At 44.6% G+C, this 19,199-nt stretch overlaps 1 protein-coding gene across 1 annotated transcript, besides 4 other annotated features; it reads right to left on the bottom strand.

Annotated features, from left to right (window-relative positions):
* Positions 3,151-4,059: an enhancer, noted in NCBI's record as "H3K4me1 hESC enhancer chr10:28972804-28973712 (GRCh37/hg19 assembly coordinates)". NCBI's record gives its function as "activates a minimal SCP1, AML or CMV promoter by ChIP-STARR-seq in naive H9 embryonic stem cells {active_cell/tissue: H9 hESC(naive)}" and the evidence as "EXISTENCE:reporter gene assay evidence [ECO:0000049][PMID:30033119]".
* Positions 5,002-10,413, bottom strand: BAMBI (BMP and activin membrane bound inhibitor). Its single transcript, NM_012342.3, has 3 exons — positions 9,961-10,413; positions 6,389-6,676; positions 5,002-5,951 (listed from the first exon to the last, which is right to left on the bottom strand). The coding sequence occupies exons 1-3, from the start codon at positions 10,034-10,036 to the stop codon at positions 5,533-5,535; spliced, it is 783 nt and encodes a 260-aa protein (NP_036474.1). The 5' UTR covers positions 10,037-10,413; the 3' UTR covers positions 5,002-5,532.
* Positions 9,516-9,660: a silencer, noted in NCBI's record as "fragment chr10:28967203-28967347 (GRCh37/hg19 assembly coordinates)". NCBI's record gives its function as "represses an EF-1alpha promoter that drives an FKBP-Casp9 reporter gene in an ReSE screen in HepG2 liver carcinoma cells {active_cell/tissue: HepG2}" and the evidence as "EXISTENCE:reporter gene assay evidence [ECO:0000049][PMID:32094911]".
* Positions 10,386-10,945: a silencer, noted in NCBI's record as "silent region_2257". NCBI's record gives its function as "represses an Ori minimal core promoter by ATAC-STARR-seq in GM12878 lymphoblastoid cells {active_cell/tissue: GM12878}" and the evidence as "EXISTENCE:reporter gene assay evidence [ECO:0000049][PMID:35858748]".
* Positions 18,693-19,194: an enhancer, noted in NCBI's record as "NANOG hESC enhancer chr10:28957669-28958170 (GRCh37/hg19 assembly coordinates)". NCBI's record gives its function as "activates a minimal SCP1, AML or CMV promoter by ChIP-STARR-seq in primed H9 embryonic stem cells {active_cell/tissue: H9 hESC(primed)}" and the evidence as "EXISTENCE:reporter gene assay evidence [ECO:0000049][PMID:30033119]".

The raw sequence follows: 19,199 nt of genomic DNA, 5'->3' as shown, positions 1-19,199 counted from the left end.
GAAAAAAACACTCCACCGTGAACTTGTAACACTTAAAAAGTAAGAAACTTGCTTTGAGAAGTGTGGTGTTTTTCCACTGTCCTCATCGGTTCCCTAGGGAAATTCCAAGGGGAAGAAACCGGGGATAAAGAGCTTTTTGTATTTCTCTTGGTTTTAACTGCTAAAACAATTTTTGTTCCATTAGGTTTGTAATGTGAGATCTTTCAGAGTGAATTGACACAACAGCCTCTGAGTTTATTAATTCATCACAACTTAGTCTTCATGTGTCTAAAAACAAATTGCTGACTTCTTGCAAGTTCCAAATGTACTTATGCAATGCCTTGAAAATTGTTAAATGTAAAGTTATTCCAGGATTACGAAGTCTATTCAATTAGCATGGCATACACACACACACACACACACACACACAGCATGCATAGTTTTCAGCTGATCTTTCCTGAGTTCTATTCAGATTTAGTCCAACATCAATCTAATCTGCAAGATACAGGGAGCTAAACACCATTTGAAATTGCCCCTGAGAGGTCAGCGGGCCATTAGCTCCTAGATAGAATGAATTTCCTAAAAGTCTTGAGGAATGACAAATGCCTTGAGATATTATCTCACTGCTTACCCAAGTTATCTCCCCAGATTGCTTATCAATGCCTTTCCTGTTACCCTTTTCATATTCAAAGAATGGGAAAAGTTTGCAGAAGTTTGGCTGATAGGTCTTCCCTAGCAATAAATACTCTGAAATTCTAAAAAAGCACATCCCTTGGAAAATTGCTGCCTTGCTGGAAGAAGTAAATCCCCAACTGGTTAATCTCAGCTCTGCCACCTTCCTGATTCTATCCTCAAATTCCTGGAATGGCAGACAAATGAATTACACCACCACGCTGCAAAACAGTGCAGTGTTAGCAGATTAACAAGGACATGTTCAGAGTGTAAAATGTACTCCAAATAAAGAGTTGCCAAAATTTGAGAGTTGAATTTCGTCATTCTATGGGATCTCTAATTCCCCAAAAAAATCAATGATCTGCTTTTTTTGAGGCAGCAGATAGAGTCATATTGACAGGATGAATTGGGTAGAGGGAAGGGGAGTCAGTTGGGATCTGGAGCAGTCAATTTTTCTATTATAAATGTTGGTATCTGGAGCATTTAATTTTTCTATTATAAATGTTGGTATCTGGAGCATTTAATTTTTCTATTATAACTGTGACCCACAGAGTAACTAAATTAATTTCATCCAGGGTAATTAAATGATTTTTAACTCACTCCTCCACTTCCAAATTCACAAAGTTCTAAAAACTAGTTCTAGAAGTATTTGTATTTTGTTGGGAGCACCCGTGGGGCAGGCTGTAATCGATTGTGGCATTGAGAATCAATTGTTGAGAATGAACCAATCAGACATAAGCCACGCAAACAATATGGACACATTATCTGCTACCTATCAAATCCATTGATTTTCTCAATGGTTTGACCATTCGGAGCAGCTGAAACTCCAAGGGAACTTCATTCTATCAAATACTAGAAACTCAAGTAAGTTTATATGATTAAAACATTCTCATCAGTAGCCATCTGTATTATTCCAGAAGGAAACAATTACAAATGAACCTATTTAATAGGCATGAGAGGCCAAAAATAATAAATTGAAAATGAATATTTAAAATGCCATATCCAGTCTGCAGGTGACTGGCAAGTCTCAAGTATGCAAAGATCTTAAATATTAAAAAGCAATATTAATGTACGGTACAAATAATGGGCACAAGTTCTCAGATTTTAAGGAATATTATGTGGGCACAGTTTATGCAAGAATGTTGTGTATATGAATGAAAATAGCTACAATGTCTCTTCACAATAATCCTACAAGGTGTTACTACGGCCCCCATTCCACAGGCAACCACAGGCAACAAAAGTGAATATTCAAAGAGCTTACATAATTTGCCGAAGTTCGCACAGCTGTGGAGGTTTAAAGACATTTGAGCTGAGAGGCAGAGAAGAGGACCAATTAGAGGCTGTAAGGGAAAAAAAAAGCTATCCCGGCCCCAAAAGAGCCAGTTCCCTAGTCATGATACTAGATGCCACTGCTTTCAAGCTTTTAGCCTATAATCAACCCATATTGAAACCAGATTTATGAGCTCTTCAGAGGAAAGCTTTGTGATTTTCTAAAGCAGACATGTTTGGTATTTTATAAGGTCAAACCCCCTACGGTGTAGTGTTTTTAATAAAATCAGTTCAGCAGAAATTAGAGACACACCAGTCAATTTCTAGGAAGCCTCTAAGCCATTCAAAATAAAAGGAAAAAAAAATAACATAAAAGACATAACCATGCACAGATCAATTTTTTCAACAGTGGTAGAATGTAAGGAGTTGTAGATAGAAAATCATCTTGGCAAATTTGGTCCCATGTCTCTAGTTTGGGCAAATTTCCACTCAGAAAGGAAAATTCCTTTTGGGGGGAGTTCTATGACAATATTAAGCAAGGGTTGTTCCTGGTTAGCCTGGCCTTGTGACACCTCAGAGTAACAGTAAACATCTCTAAGACGGAAAAACAAATAAACCAGTCACCACCACTTCTGACATCACTGAATCAGGTAGACCCTGGACCTTATCTTAGTCCTTAATCTCTGGCTCCTGGCAACTTCTGCACTCTCACAGGGAAGCAAAAGTAAAATCTATATGTAGTTCTTAGTTACATCCAAAGTTGAGGTGCCTGCAGTATTTTCATAAGAAGGCGGATCTGACTTTCAGATTGGTGGTGAGGACACGTGTAAAAACTAAATGAATATCAAGAGAGAGGATTTTTTTAGGAAAAGAGGCAGGGCTGGCCTATTATGTGGCTAGAAGCGGAGCCCCAGAAAACTGAGAGGCCATGGGCACAGTGCCACCTCCCCACAGTACAGGGAGCTGTAAATAGCCTCGTGAATATACAATAGGAAGAACAAAGGCCCAAGATCAAGTGGAGAGGCTGCATGCATCCTCCATGAAGTTTGTGGTAACACCAGTCCAGACATAGGCCTCTCTGGGAGGAAGGGGTTCACTGATTTCAAAGTGTTTCAAAGCACATGACTTTAAATCCTTCATTGTTTTATTTCCTAAAGAATTGCAGAGTTCCTGGTTAACCTGTACTTGGAAAAAATGAGGTGAACCGGCCCTCATCAGGGCAAGCAGAGAAAAGAAACTCTGACTACGTAACAGATATAAAAACTGGCCACTTGAAGAATTGCTGAGCTTGCATAATGTCGTACATGAAATGAGAATGTACAAGGAGCAAGAAGTCCTTTCATCTCTAAACTACAATCTACTATAATGTGATCAAGAGCCAGAGTGGGGTTGGGCAGAGTGGCTCACACCTTAATCCCAGCACTTTAGGAGGCTGAGGCAGGAGGATCACTTGAGGTCAGGAGTTTGGGACCAGCCTGGCCAACATGGTGAAAACCCTGTCTCTACTAAAAATACAGAAATTAGCCAGGCATGGTGGTGGGTGGCTGTAATCCCAGCTGCTTCAGAGGCTGAGGCAGGAGAATCGCTTGAACCCGCGGCGGGGCAGGGGGCAGGGTGGTGTGCACCACGTGTGGTGTGTGGCGAGTGGGGTGGAGGTTGTAGTGATACATATGGCGCCACCGGACTCCAGCCCGGGCGACAGAGTGAGACTCAAAGAGCCAGAGGTGGAGGTGAGGGTGGAAATTTCACCAACAGACAACTTTGATCAATTCCCTTGACAGGTTTGAAGGGTTGGGTTCAACAATTCTTTGGCTTCCTCAAAAACTGACATACATAAAGCTTAACATCTTTTATAAAATATAAGGCATGCATGCAAGAGCTGCTCATCTTAAAAGGGACAGTACGAATGCTATCATTTATTAATATGTGTTTATTCCACAGCTTAGTTTTTTGGGGCAGGTGGTCTATTAATATTAATAAAAGAAAACCCCATACTCGAATATGCAGGCTGTAATTTTTTTTTTTTGAGATGGAGTCTCCCTCTGTTGCCCAGGCTGGAGTGCAGTGGCACAATCTCAGCTTACAACCTCTGCCTCCTGGGTTCAAGCAATTCTCCTGCCTCAGCCTCCCGAGTAGCTGGGACTACAGATGCACGCCACCACGCCCAGCTAATTTTTGCATTTTTAGTAGAGACAGGGTTTCACTATGTTGGCCAGGCTGGTCTTGAACTCCTTACCTTGTGATCCACCTGCCTCGGCCTCCCAAAGTGCTAGGATTACAGGTGTGAGCCACCGCGCCCGGCCTACGGGTTAACTTTTAAGCAAAAATTTCACATATACAAAGGAATTCAGAAGATACCCTCCATGGCATAATATTCTCACATTTAAAATAAGAAAGATCCACTGGGGGCACGGGAAGTACACAAATAAAGCATACGTTTAAATTCAGGATGGGCAATGTTATCAGGACAAAAAGTCTTATAAGAGGAAACATTGTTTCCTAGCTGTATTAGTTACTGGCTAAAGCCAATGTTCTATTTGGTTACATAAAGGATCATTTGGGAGGATGAAACCTAGTAGCAGTTATTTAAATCAATTGGTGTATCGTGTTCACTACAGAAAAGCTTTCTAAGTATTAAAAAAAAAAAAAGCATCACACTGTTGAAGCACAAGGTTTAAAATTAAGTGTGTTGTACAGTAAGGTTTGGCTAATTGGGGAGCCAAAATACTTAATTTGGCTTAGGACAAAATAAACTGGCCAATTAATCAACAGTAAAAGGAGACAGTGACTGACTTGAACAAAAAAACAGTTGTTTAGTTGGTTTTTTTTTCTTTTTTGGGTGGAGGTATACACATTGGAAAAGGTATTCCGGAACACCTGGATCAAAATGACCTTTGCTAGGTCAACTCCAGAAATTGATCAATCATATCTGACCTGGTACACATAAATTCCAGATCTCCTTCTTAGATGAAAGCTAAAACCAGAGTTATCCTATAGCCAGAATGTGGGTAAGACACTAAAAGATGGTCAGTATACATTTAGAAACTCCACACTGTAAGAAAATTACACAGGCACATGGAAGAATAAGCAAGATCTTGGTCTTGTTTAAAAAAGAAAAGAGAAAAAAAAAAACCAAGCCACATCCTAGAGTTGAGAACAAATTATTAACAGCAAATGGCCATTTGTATAATTAACATGTACTGTCTCACGTTTCCCAGTTAAATTTATGAAAGACACTATTAAATTTCAGACAAAATATATATATTTCTTTTAAATCTTTACAATAAATCAAGATGTAGAAGCTTACATAGGGCACATTTTTGTTTATTTAGGTACTCAATTCCAGCTCCCTTGGATGCAAATAACCCTGGTGACAGTGTGTACAAAGTCTTCTCTTTGCTTTTTATAATTTTAAAAGCAAATAACACATTTAACTGTATTTAAGTCTGTGCAAATAATCCTTCAGAAGAAATATCCAAGATTCTGTTTGCAGAGGTCATTTTGTCTCTCAAAGATGATTAAATGAGTTTGTCTTCAGATAAAGTGCTCCTGTCCAGCAGAACTCAAAAGGCCTTCAAGCTGTTCAGTAAGTGTAGTTCAGATAAGACTCCGTCATACGAATTCCAGCTTCCCGTGCCCACTGTACATGCCCCAGTGAACAAGCGAGAGGATCTTATCGTTGCTGAGGTCTGCTTGTCTCATTTTATCACAGGTCAGACAGCAGTTCTCGTGCCCACTGACCGGCACCATGCATTCCAAGTCTAACTTTGCAACCTGCCCCTTTTTGGAATGGTGTCCGTGAAAGCTGTAGTGCAAACGGGAGAGCATCTGTTGCCGCTGATCCTGCAGCCTCTTATTTTCACTTCGAAGCATCCTCAGGGCCAACATAATAAGCAACACTAAAATCAGCCCTCCAGCAATGGGCACGGCAATGACCGCTGCCCGGAACCACAACTCTTTGGAAGAAGTCAGCTCCTGCACCTTGGTGATAAGGTTTCTGCTACCATCATGCTGATACCTGTTTCCTTGTCCTAAAGGAGTACAAAGAAAATGATCAAACTCCATGCTAACTCCTCCTAGGGATATTCATAATCATCAATTCATTTTAACCAAGAATTCCATTAAAAAGAAGCTTACAATTAAATCAACGATATTTAGAAAACATTGCAAAACTATCTGAAGAAGCTTACAAACGCATTTGTTTACAGACTGTCATTACTGAGATGTAATGGCCTTTTAATGTCTTCAAAATGTTGAAAAAACAGGCAAAACCTATTATGTAGACAGACATCTAATGCTCAGACATAAAAGCCACTCAATCAAGATGCATCTTTGCATCCAGCCAGGCTTCTCCCTCTGGTGTCTCTAATTACATTAACAACAAAATCAATAGCAGACATACAAAGTCGTGGCTGTCACAAGTCTATAGATCAGGCAGGCATTCTGGTTAGAAACGGCTTCCACCTACCTGAGGCCTCACCCCTGGGAGGAGAGAGAACATCGTGCAGCCCTCTGTAATTGCACATGTCTTCATGACAGCATTCCAATGTGGGTATGGTGGTGCCAGAGTGGTTTCGGGCCTGTTTGGCTTGGCAGATGTCTGTCGTGCTTGCAAGAGAGTCCAGGCAGCCATGGGTGAGTGGGGAATTTGAGTTCTGAGGATCAAGAAGTCTAGAGAAGCAGGCGCTGAGCTCAGATTTACACATATAACCAGTGGCTACACAGTGGGCAGCATCACAGTAGCATCGAATTTCACCTGAAAACAATGAGAAACCACCTCAAACTCTGCTCCAGAGACCAGATAAAGCAACTATTTAGGCAACTGCTAAATCCCAAATTCAAAGGCATGAACTTTTAGATCATCCAAGCTGAGGGCTCCAGTCTACAGAGCCTGGAGAAGCCCTTCCTGCAGCCAGTGCGTAAGTTTCAATCCAGTTAAACGTCATTTTGGCAATGTAGTAATCCCAATAGCAGGTTTCTGAGGAGTTTAGAGTCATTTTAAAAAAACTTTTGCTTTTTGAAGGAAATAGTAATGAGTATAATTTCTCCTACCATAAGGTATAACACATTATTTATTCATTTTAATCCTACATGACCATACAACATAAAAATGTTAGGCTTTTTGATTTTGTCAGTATAAATATTTGATCGGAACTACTGAATTGTTTACTATCCCACAGGACTGCACCAAGAGTTAAGAGCTTTAGCTAACACCTTATAAAGTTATTAACTAGAAACACAACAATCTAGAAACTGCCCAGGTCAGGAGGTTTTAAAACTATGAAACTAGGCAGCTATTTGCAACCTCTCTAGAAAAGGCAAACTTTTTGCCTATAAAGATCTTTTCATGCAGAGGAGCTTTTAGTCAGTATATTGTAAAACAGGAACTAGGCAGTTTACAATTAGTGGTTTGCTTGCCAAAGTCAATTTCTTTCAGCCCAAATGGAAAGTCATAAAAGGTGGGGGGAGTATAAAACTGCAAGGCTAACTTCTCCTCCTCCTCCTCACAAGTTTTACATGTAATTCGACATGTGATCTAAAAGGGGAAACACTGAAACTGAAAATCCTCTGCTGGTTGAATGAAAAATCCTTAAGGAAACCTCAAATTTTCTACAGGAAGTGATTAAAAGTTTCCTTTATAAAAACTTATTTTGTGAGTTGCATGGCTCCGTTCACATTTTGTCGCAGGGCAAGATTGGAGGCTTTAATATCAGTTTCTCGTTGAAATAATCTGGGTCTTCAAGTTCTCACTAATACAATATCCACCTAGTGGACCCTGGTCGCTGTCACATGCCACAGCGAGTAAACTAAACTAATGCACACGCCTCTTCCAGTTTCCCGTCTGAAGATCCGAAACCTCCACTCTGAAATTAAACACCGGGATCTGCTGTTTTACAAACCTCTTCCCACCCTTACCTTTATTCTTCCCCCTCTCTCTGAACGCCCCAGTAAGGTGTCTCATTTAATTATCTGTCCAAATTCCAGACCACGGTATTGTATGCTCAGTTTTCACCGGACGCTGCTAATGCTTCGGTTCTAAGGAAAACCAGCCCGCTAAACACAGATCTTTGGCAACCCTTAACAGTCCAAAGCTAGGGGTCTTGCTCCTAAATCTGCACTGGTTGGGCCCAAGTTCCTTCTCTGCTTCAAGTAAGAACCTTGCTTTGCAGAACCACTTCTCTGCTCTTTCTCCTCCTCCCTCCAAGCTCACTTTATTTTCCACATAAAGCTCACCAGTCTTCTGGGGTGATGACTACATATCCCTAGTTTGACAAATTCCATATATAGATTTAAAGTATAAATAAAACAGATTAAAAGCCCATTTTGACCCTATTAGCTTCAGACCTTGTACAGAAAAGGAAGACTGAATACAAGTAAAATGCTGCTTAAATGTTTATGAGAGCCTATTTTCAATGACCTAAAAACAGCCTAATAAAATTTTGACAGGTAACTGGGAAAGTTCTAACTACCTTTTTTTTTTAATTGGAGCCACATTTTAAGCAAGGAGAATGGACTTTTGTACCACTGTATTAAAACTATATTTCTGTCGTTCATAAAGTTTCTTCCTGTGGCATGCAAAAGGCCAGAAAGGGGACTGGTATTTTGAAACTGTGGAACAATGCCCTTCTGTTTCTGTCCCCTTCTCGTTACTGTATGTAGTGATTAAACAAAAATGTCTGCTTTAGTCAAGATGGCTACAGGAGAGACTGCTGGCTTCTTTTAAAGCTTTTGAAGTCCGCAGCCGTCAGAAATCTCTGATCCCCTAATTATATCATTATCAGGCACATAGTTTCGGTATCTGTGACTTCATGTCAGCCTCAGTCCCTCCCTGTTCTGCCCGCCTTTGATAGGGCCAGGAGGCTCCCCTCTGCAAGCCACAAGGGCTGTTATTTAGGGTTAATTACACCCTTCCTTCCAAAATAAATAAATACTGTAGCACATCATCCTCGCTGGGCTAGCTTATGCTTTAACCTCATGCCTGCTACATAGCAATTAAAGAGAAGTAGGGGGCTGCAAAGACTAAACTGCTTCCTACTTAAAAAAATTATCTGTTCACAGAACAGTAGGTAGATTTCACAGCAGGGAGGTGAGGAGAACCTTGAAATTCGGAGACAGTTCGGGTTATTTCTTTCTAAAAGGTGAAAGCCTGCAGAGGAAAGAAGAAACTGACCCGCTGCCTTTTTTTTTTTTTTGGTCCTGTTTGTAAAATATGAGGTGAGTGGCAGTGAGACGCTGACAGAGCCTACTCCTCCCGGCTGCTGAAAAGCAACACAACACACACTTCTGCACACCTCGGACACCTAAACTCTCAGGGAGACCCACACACTCGCTCGCACACAGAGAGATGTACGCAGAGACACACTCACACAGAGACTCAGATGCACATTCAGAGATACAAAGACACTTAGAGACAGACACAGAAATGCATTCAGAAAGACACACTCAAGATCAGAGATACAGAGACTCACACATTCAGAGACACAAAGACTCAGAAAGAGACACAGAAATGCATTCAGAGATACATTCAAAGAGACACAGAGATACGCTGAGTGATACAGAGGTTCAGACACACTTTCAGAAACACAACGACACTCAGAGACACAAAAATGCATTTAGGGATACTGAGACTCAGAGACACACTCACAGAAATACACCCTGAGGCACTCACACAGACACGCTGAGGGCACGCGGCAGCTACAGGCCAGGATCTGCGATTCCTCCCGGCCGCCCGAGCCCCCAGGGTGCGGAAGCGGCGGCGTCGAGGCCGAGACTCCGGCCCCGCTCCCCGCTGGGCTGCAAACGCGCCGCTCCCCGCAGGCAGAGCCAGGAGGACCCTCTGATCAGCGCCTGCCCTTAGATCGGAGTCCGCATCCACGCGCCAGGCCACCGCCGCGACTTCTAAGAACACAGCAACTTGTCGCGACCTGCGGCTCCGGCGCAGGAGGGAGCCTCGCCTGCCGCTAACAAAGCCTCTGCAGCCGGCTCCAAAGCCCCGCGGCGAGGACGGGACCCCGGGCCCCGTGCGCCCCCGGCACCCACCTTTGGTGAGCAGCACGGCCATGGCGCAGAGCTCCAGCTGCAGCCAGATGAAGATGTAGCTGGAGTGGCGATCCATTGACGCCCCGCACGGCCGCGGCGCCCCCGCCGGCTTCCGGAGCCCCGGCTCGGCGGCAGCCTACGACCCCCGGAGCGCGCAGGGCATGGGCCCTGCCCGGAGCGGCGGGCGCCGTCAGCGGCGGGGCTGGGTTTCGGGCCGCTGCCGGAGCATGGAGCGCGGCTACAGGGCGCGCCCAGGAGCCCAGAAAAGTTTCCCGGTCCCCCGTCGGCGGCCACTGGCTCCCTTGCCCCGCTCGACTCTAGGGACGCACGCTAGCCCCGGGTCGGGAGTGGGCTCCCGGCCTTCAGTCCCCGCTAGCGGCCGTTCTCAGCGAAGAGAGTAGGGTCTCCACAGCACGCAAGGGTATCCGCCGCAGCTCCCGCCCGCGCCAGCCCAGGTCTCTCCGGCTCCGCGCCGTAAATAGCGCCCCGCGCCGGGAGCCGGCCTGCACCGCCCCGCCTCGCCCCGCCCCACGGCGTCCGATTGGCCGCCGGGCTCCTGTCAATCCGCCCCGCAGCGGGGGGCGGGCCCAGACGCGAGCGCTGGGGGACCTGCCCGGCGGCTCCGAGCGGCGCCGGCGTCTGGGGCGCCCGGCTGGGGCGCCCGGCTGGTGCGCTGCCGTCTCCCGCGCTCCCCCTTGCGGAGGCCTGCGCGTCAGTGACCTTCGCGAGGCGCCGGGGGAGCCCAGCCCCGGGACCGGCTCGGGAACCCGCCTCCGAGACCCTGACGGCTCAGCCTCGGGTGGTCAGCGTTCCCCAGCGCGGGGCTTCTTTTGGGTGCCCCCCGAAACACGCAGGGGGTCCGTGTGGTCGTCCTCCCCGGCCGCACTGCGTTTTCTGGAACCCCCAGGGGCGAGTGACAATGCCCCGGCCTGTGCAGGTGGCGGAGGAGGGTTCGGGTGGGAGCCCGGGGGAGGCGGCCCAGCGCTGGGGTCTGCATTCAGCCTTCGCCCCCCACCCCCTCAGCGTGTCCGCCTCGAGCTGCCCGCCATGGGATCAATAAAGCCCAGACAGACTGACTGTTGATCCGTTAGGAGCCGCTAGGTTCTCCCGGGTACGCGGGACGAGTAGCGGGCTAGAGACACTTAACGAAAATTAGCAAATCCAAAAGCACCCGGCGCCAACGAGACGACACTGGCCGAGACTGACACTCAATTAACCACCCCCCAAACAATGGCTGGCAAACACGCCGGCTGACCCTGATCAATATCAGCCCCGCAGTGATCTCCTCCTTGAGATGCTAATTCATTTATTAGGGATCGCGGGGCTGCCCTTCCCAAGGTACTCAAGGTGGTCTTGCTGTAGTTTTGTTTCCCCCTCCGCTTTGGAAGGAATTAAGGTTAAAACTCATTATCTGAGGGAATGTTCTTTTATCCTCTCCCTCCAAAACCTGAGATGAACAAAAGTCGACCATTTGCAAAATTCTTCTTGAGAATCTGCCAGAGCTTCCCTACCGGATATGTCAAAAGGGGGTGGGGGGTGGGGAAGGAAAGAAAGAGAAGCACATTTCATGCTAAGGTGAGAATTATAAAGACAAATCCTTTAGGACTAGAGTGCAGACATGAGCTTTGAGACTAAGAAAAATGTACATATGTCTTGAGGACTGAAAGTCAAGGCGAACATATCTCAAACGCCTAACCTTTTAAAGTTGTTGAAAGTCTGCAGAGCTGCAGGATGTAGTTAATGAAATTGTCTTTGAAAAATAATGTTTATGTGCAGAAAAATAAAATAATTTCATAAACTGATGCTCAGACCATTACTTCTCTAGATCAAAATTGCATCTAAAAGGAGAGAAGGAGAAATCCAGTAGAAGTTTTAAAAGAAAATTAAACTGGTTAGGGCACCAGGTAAACAGCAGGTTTCTCAGAAAAGTTTCTCAAGGGGCGTGCTGACAAGGCAGTCCTGGGGCCGAGTTTGATTAGAACTTCCTGGCTACTAGAACCTTGACAAGTTAACAATTGTAAGGGTTTTATGCAGACAAGACTTTTTTTTTTTTTTTTTTTTTTTTTGAGACGAGTCTGGCACTGTCGCCCAGGCTGGAGTACAGTGGCGCGATCTCGGCTCACTGCAACCTTCCGCCTCCCGGGTTCAAGCCATTCTCCTGCCTCAGCCTCCTGAGTAGCTGGGATTACAGGCACCTGTCTCCACGCCTGGCTAATTTCTGTATTTTTATAGAGACGAGGTTTCGCCATGTTGGTCAGGCTGCTCTCGAACTTCCGACCTCGTGATCCGCCCGCCTCGGCCTCCCAAAGTGCTGGGATTTACAGGCGTGAGCCACCGCGCCCAGAGGACAATACTTTTTATGTAATGATTACACTCTCTTTTAGAGTCAATTATTAGCTAAAAGGAAACTTTCAGGGTATGTTAGTTCAACCTGGCCTCCCACCGTAGGCGAGGCTTGCAATGTCTGGGGGTATAAAGATGTCAGAAACTAGATAGTAAATCTCAAAACAATGGAGCTGGACAATAATGGAGATTTATGTGCATGATGTTACAATGCCTAAAAGAAAGAGGTTAACTAGTCTAGGAAGGTAAAGAGAGCCGGTAAAGTCTAGAAGCAATGACATTAAGGATTGGAAGAAGACCATTACAAGCACAGAGGACCACAGGACTTAGGCATGAAATATGATTGTGTAGGTGAGTAGGAGTGGTAAGCAGCGAACAGGTAGTTGGGATGACAAGCAAGTCTTTGTGATTGCAGCATAAAATGTGAAGAAGTGAACAGAGACGTATCAGAAATGAACTATACTTCCCTTTGATACAGATAAATATTTAATGGAAGAGGTCTGGGGAATGTGTTGGTGAAAGTTGCATTCTAGTAGACACTTTCTGAGTGTCTCCCAGCCCAAGTCAGAGAATGTCCCTTTTCCCGGAGTGGGCGTTGGCAACCTGATTAGGAGACTCTGATCTCCTAATCTCTGGCCATAGCTAGTCACATGACCCAGGTTAGGTCAGTTAGATTCTCTCTTCTGTGTCTTTGAGCAGACATGCTGCTCAGTCCCTTGAGGTCATTTCACGGGAGACATAAAAATTTTGCTTTGGGGCAGCTGTAGTCCACCTGTCTGCAGAGGAAGAAAAATAATGAAGATATGCAAAGTGGCAAATACATAAATCCAAATGGATTTCCAGGCACTCAGCGTCACTTCTTGTCCTTAGGTTAATTCAGTAACCTTAATAAAGTCCCCTTTTTACTTAAGGTTCTTTTCCTTGCAACCCAAAGAAACCAAACTAAGATATTTGTATTTTATTGAATTAATGTTGACTTTGAGCACTCCAGGTTGTATATATTTTTTTGTTCCAAGTCCAATTCTGAATAAGAACTTGGGATCCATTTTTTAGACAATGATTTCAACTATTTTGTTTTTATTATTAATGGGCAAACTTTCTAAATGACCAGAAATTAAAGAGAAACAAGTCCGCACTTTATCTAATGGTTCTGGGGAAGACATGGACTTTTCAACTAAATGAATCAGAGTGTTTGAATCAATGTAGAATATCAAAATCAGTTTAGGGATAATGTGTCAATCATAAGGCCATATCAATAGTTGAGAGAATAGGCAACAATTTTAATTCAATTTAACATTCTTAAGGAAAATTGCTTCTCTAGAGAATTTTACTTATGCTTTGCACATAATTCAGTTATTACTTTCCTACATGTAGGTTGATAAGTAGAGGGAAAAAAAATAGTACAATCTACTGTCCTTTTGAAGTTTAAAGCAAGAAATGAAATCAACGACCAAAATTCTTTTTACATCTACAAAGGGATTCCGAAAATACCTAGGAACAAGCTCTCTATACCCAAGAACAGAAAACTGATTCTAGACCTAACTGAAACCGTTAAACAGTAGAATAGTTTTTTATTACCTTCAAACAGCATTCAAGATATAATTTATCCATGGGAGATATATATGTATATATATAGGCGCGAGCCACCATGCCCGACTAATTTTTTAATTTTTTTGTAGAGATGGTGGTCTCCCTATGTTACTGAGGCTGGTCTCAGAATTCCTGGGCTCAAGCAATCCTCCTGCCTGAGCCTCCAAAAGTGCTGGGATTATAGGTGTGAGCCACCATGCTGGCCGTATAGATGTTTTAAAGATTTTAAATGATGTCTTTGAAATTATAGGCTAAACATGTAACTAAATGGCACTAAATTGTGAATGGGAGAGTAGAGAGTTACTTGCTTTTTTTTGCTTTTTTAGAGACGAAGGCCTCCCTCTGTTACTCAGGCTGGAGTACAGCGCTGCAATCATAGCTCACTGTAGCCTCGAACCACTGGCCCCAGCCTCCCAAGTAGCTAAGGTGCTCCCCACTGCATGGGGCTAATTTCTATACTTTTTGTTGAGACAGAGTCTCCTTATGTTGCCCAGGCTGGTCCCAAACTTCTAGCCTCGAGTGACCCTCCCACCTTAGCCTCCCAAGTAGCTGGGATTACAGGTGTGAGCTTGACTATCTTATCAGAGAGTTATTTGTGTTTAAGGGATTCATAGCAGAATAGGAGCTTATTTGTTAGGTGACCAGATAGAACAAAGGAAGATTATACAATCTGAGAAAAGCGCATCAGAAGTTCTTCCCTTAATACCAAGGATAAGAACAAGAATTCTGTTCATTGATGACCTCACTTAGGGTGTACTCTCTTCATAACCTGTGTCCATAAATCTCGTTAAAATGCATTAAATATTTGAAGATATGCACGTTTGGCTGGCATTTTATTTCATGGCTTGAACTCACACATCAAATATAATGTGTGTCTTGATACTTTGTAAATGATAAAACAAATACTATATAGTTAGTTATTTTCTCAGGAATTATTATGAAATAAAAACAATGACAGTGGCCAGAACATAATAGCAAATAAATAAATAAATAAATAAAAATAAAACATTTATAGTACATCGTTAGTCAACTTGCTTAATTAAAAGGAAGAGAGACACACTAAAGATTAATTTAGGAGGGGTTTGTGGTATGGACAAAATAGGCTTATGGTATGGTTACTACTAACTGGTCATTGACAAGCACCGCTTATCAGCTCGGGGAGCCAACCTTCCTGGAGCCAGAAGCCAGAGACTTGGGCCTCTTTTTCTCAGGGTTGTCTTTGCTTCTCACCTCTTTGCCAGTGGGCTGTCATCCTCTCCTTATTTGTAGTTTTTACTCTCATAATTTCTGCTTTTATTTTTTTTTTGTCCAAGCATGAGTCCCCTATACAGAGAGATACTACCCAAGAGATGGTTTCACCTTCTATCACTACTGCAAACTATCACAGTCATTTGTTCAGCTTACGGAGACACCATCCCCAAATACTCAGTCTGTGATCTCTTGGGCTTGGATAGGGTTCTGGCTAATATAAAACCTGGGTACTGCTCTCAGCAAGGGTGTGAGCCAGAAAGAACACACAGAAAGAGATATGGGCAGGCTGGCACCATAAAGCATGTCATATTATATAAAGTTAATTCACCTATAAAGCAAAATAAAGTAGGCCAGGCTCAGAGGCTCACACCTGTAATTCTAGCACTTTGGGAGGCTGAGGTGGGAGGATCACATGAGTTCAGGAGTTTGAGACCAGCAAGCCCGGTAGCAGATGCCTGTAGTCTCAGCTACTTGGGAGGCTAAAGTAGGAGGATTACTGGAGCCCAGGCGTTCCAGGCTGCAGTGAACTAAGATCACACCACCACACTTCAGCCTGGGCAACAGAGAGAGACCATCTCAAAAGAAAAGAAATATATTAGTGAGTGAATTTTGACCTTAGCCAAAAGGCTGAGAAGTGATTAGTGAGTGGAATTAAGATCATTCCTCCAAGCCAGGCACGGTGGTTCATGCCTGTAATCCCAGCACTTTGAGAAGCTGAGGCAGATGGATAACTTGAGGTCAGGAGTTTGAGAACAACCTGGCCAATATGGTGAAACCCCATCTCTACTAAAAATATAAAAATTAGCCGAGCATCGTGGCACATGCCTGTAATCCCAGCTACTGGGGAGGCTGAAGCAGGAGAATCTCCAGGAGGCGGAGGTTACTGTGAGCCAAGATTGCGCCACTGCACTCCAGCCTGGACAACAGAGTGAGACTCTGTCTCAAAAAAAAAAAAAATCATTCCTTCAAATTATTACTTCTGTGTGACTTTATCACTTGAGTGTTTGCTATCATCTAAAATAACTTAATGTAGCCATTTGAAGACAGCCCATTTTAAACAGACTGAAGACTCAGAACCTTGCAGAGTACAAGACTTTCCAGAGTCCAGGACCATTTTGAACTCGTGGATTATTTTTAATATACAACAATCTTGAACATCTTGTCTTCTTAGTGGGGCCATGGCAACGAGCAGAGCTTTTTATTAGTTTCTTGAGAAAGGTGAGTATTTGGAGTGAATAGTCAACCTGGCATTTTCCACATATAGTGGCGGGGGGAAGAGCAGGCAAGATGCCCATGATGCAATGTCTATGAGCAATGGCATTGCTTGCCAGTCTGTATGGAATACATGAGCAAAATCCATCAATATTACAGCCAAAGGGTCAAAGTAGTCACTTGTTTCCTTGGAGGTCCATCCACTTGGCTCCACCCCATACCACTTAGTTGTTCCTCATTAAATGACAGGAGTATATAAAAAGAGTTCCCTGGGCCTCGCAAGGTGGTTCACACCTATAATCCCAGCACTTTGGGAGGCCAAGGAGGGTGGATCACTTGAATCCAGGAGCTCAAGACCACCCTAGGCAACGCGGTAAAACCCCATCTCTACTAAAAATACAAAAATTAGCTGGGTGTGGTGGTGCATGCCTGTAATCCCAGCTACTCAGGAGGCTGAGGCTGGAGAATCCCTTGAGCCAGAGATGGGGAGGCTGCAGCAAGCCGAGATCGCACCACTGCACTCCAGCCTGGGTAACAGAGCAAGGAAAAAGTAACACTAAAGTAAGAAACTGAAGTCCTGCATTTGTATCCACACTCCATTACTCAATGTTTTGTTTGTGTGTTTTTTGAGACGGCCTGGCTCTGTCACCCAGGCTGGAGTGCACTGGCACAATCTCAGCTCACTGCAGCCTCCACCACCATGGCTCAAGTGATCCCCTCACCTCAGACTCCCCAGTAGCTAGGACTACAGGTGCATGCCACCGCACCCTGCTAATTTTTAAATATTTTGTAGAGACAGGGTCTCGCCATGTTGCCCAAGCTGGTTGTTTATTTTATTATTATTATTATTATTATTATTATTTTTGAGATAGAGTCTTGCTCCATTGCCCAGGCTGAAGTGCAGTGGAGCGAGCTCACTGCAGCCTCCACCTCCCAGGTTCAAGCAATTCTCGTGCCTCACCCTCCTGAGTGGCTAGGATTACAGATGTTTGCCACCATGCCTGGATAACTTTTGTATTTTTGATAGAGGCAGGGTTTCACCGTTTTGGCCAGGCTGGTCTCGAACTCCTGGCCTCAAGTGATTCGCCTGCCTCAGCCTCCCAAAGTGCTGGGATCACAGGCATGAACCTCCACGCCCAGTATACTCAATGAGTTTTTATGAGCCAATCAATTGGCCCCTTGGTACTCAGTTTTCTTGCCCATAAAATGAGAACAAGAGTGTTTGGTAGCCTGCCTGCTCCAGAGATTGCTACTAGTACAACTTGAGGTCTTCGTGTAAGTTTTGTTAACTGTGAATCTCTATAGAAATGGTGACCAATTTTCCTTAGAAATCGGTCTAAGGAAAAAATTTGTAATATCTGAATGTATTTATGATGGCTTCAGGACTTCCCAGGTGGTTTCAGGATTTTCTCCTCCCTGGAGCTGAAGATTTGAAGTGCAAATAATGTTACTGCCAAGTCAGACTGCAGCCTGGGCAGGGTGGTGGTATCTCTCTAAAAACGCGGAATCTTGCCAACAAACGTTTGCTCCCATGACTGGTGATAGTCCAAGAATCAGCTGAGACAAATTGGTCGCCTAACTTATCATTACGCAAGAAACTTAGCTGCTCTCATGGAACCATAACTCGTGCCTCTAGTCTGCTGGAAAACACAACTCTTCCACCCTGCAACGTGACACCTTGAGATAACCCATCTCCTATCCAATGGCATTTTTCGAAGAAGTCTGATGTTGCTTATTCACTTTCAAACGGAAGCATTTCCCAAGAAAATCCTGACTAATTATGGATACACTTGCCATGAACTGTACTCATGAGCTGTCCTTTTTTTTAGGGGTGATCAAGAGATTTCTGAAACGGCTCCTGCCCTCAAAATGCTTCTAATCCACCTGCCTTTTTTTTTTTTTAGGTGACTGCCTAATGTTAACAAAGATCTGTAGGAATGATGGGAAGGGGCACTGGTACTTCTCTCTTTCCTAATCCTTCAAGTCATACCTGAAGATCCGCAGTTTTTCTGGAGACAGGTGAAGTCCAGCCCCTGAAAGACGCAGACAGTGCAGAGAGAAGAGCCTATGTTTTTATATTTTTGTCAAGGTGATGTCTCAAGGTACAATCAAAGCCTTTTCAGATCTGAAATCTTTTCGTTCCCATCAGCCAGCACGACTCCAGCGAAGAGAGTGGGAGGAGGGAGACGGGGGTGTCCAGGAAGATTAACCTTCCTATTGACAGATCGGGAAGTTTCGGGAAAATGTACTCCAGGTTCCACACATCGTTACTAATTCCCGGTTCTTTGGACTACAAGTAGAAAAGTACTTAGAGAAATTAGTTTAAGTATAAGATAAATGCTGATCCCCGGGTCCCTCTAAGTTTCTATTGACAATGGAAAAGTAGCAGCCGCAGCGCCATTTCGGTTCAATCGAAGAGATATTAGCATCCGTTTTAGGCAGGGAGAACATCCAAAAAGATCGATACTGAGGGGAGGGCGAGGCTGGGAGAGCGATCGGGAGCCGAGAGCGAGTGAGCGAGAGAGGGCGAGGAGAAGGAACGGGAACTAGTGAGAGATCCCTCGGGGGAAATGCAAACGCTGGAGAGAGGCACCAATTATGATAATTGAAGGTAATGGTGCCGAGGCGCCAAGGAGCTCCGCGCTGTTTTACATCATCCAGCTCCAACCCAGACGCGCCCGAGCCCGCCCCTCCCCGGCCGAGTCCACGCCCTCCCGGGCTCTCTGGGGCCCCCGCCCCGGGCCGCCCGTGCGCAGCTCCGGTGCCCAGCGCGCAAGGCGCGCCCCAGTCCCGCGCGTCCCAGCCGCTGTCTGTCTCCCCCACTGCCTCCTCTGTGCTGACTC

The sequence above is a fragment of the Homo sapiens genome, chromosome 10 (genome assembly GCF_000001405.40).
Source record: "Homo sapiens chromosome 10, GRCh38.p14 Primary Assembly".
NCBI classification, from domain to species: domain Eukaryota; kingdom Metazoa; phylum Chordata; class Mammalia; order Primates; family Hominidae; genus Homo; species Homo sapiens.
This window is presented reverse-complemented; position numbering and strand designations above follow the sequence as displayed.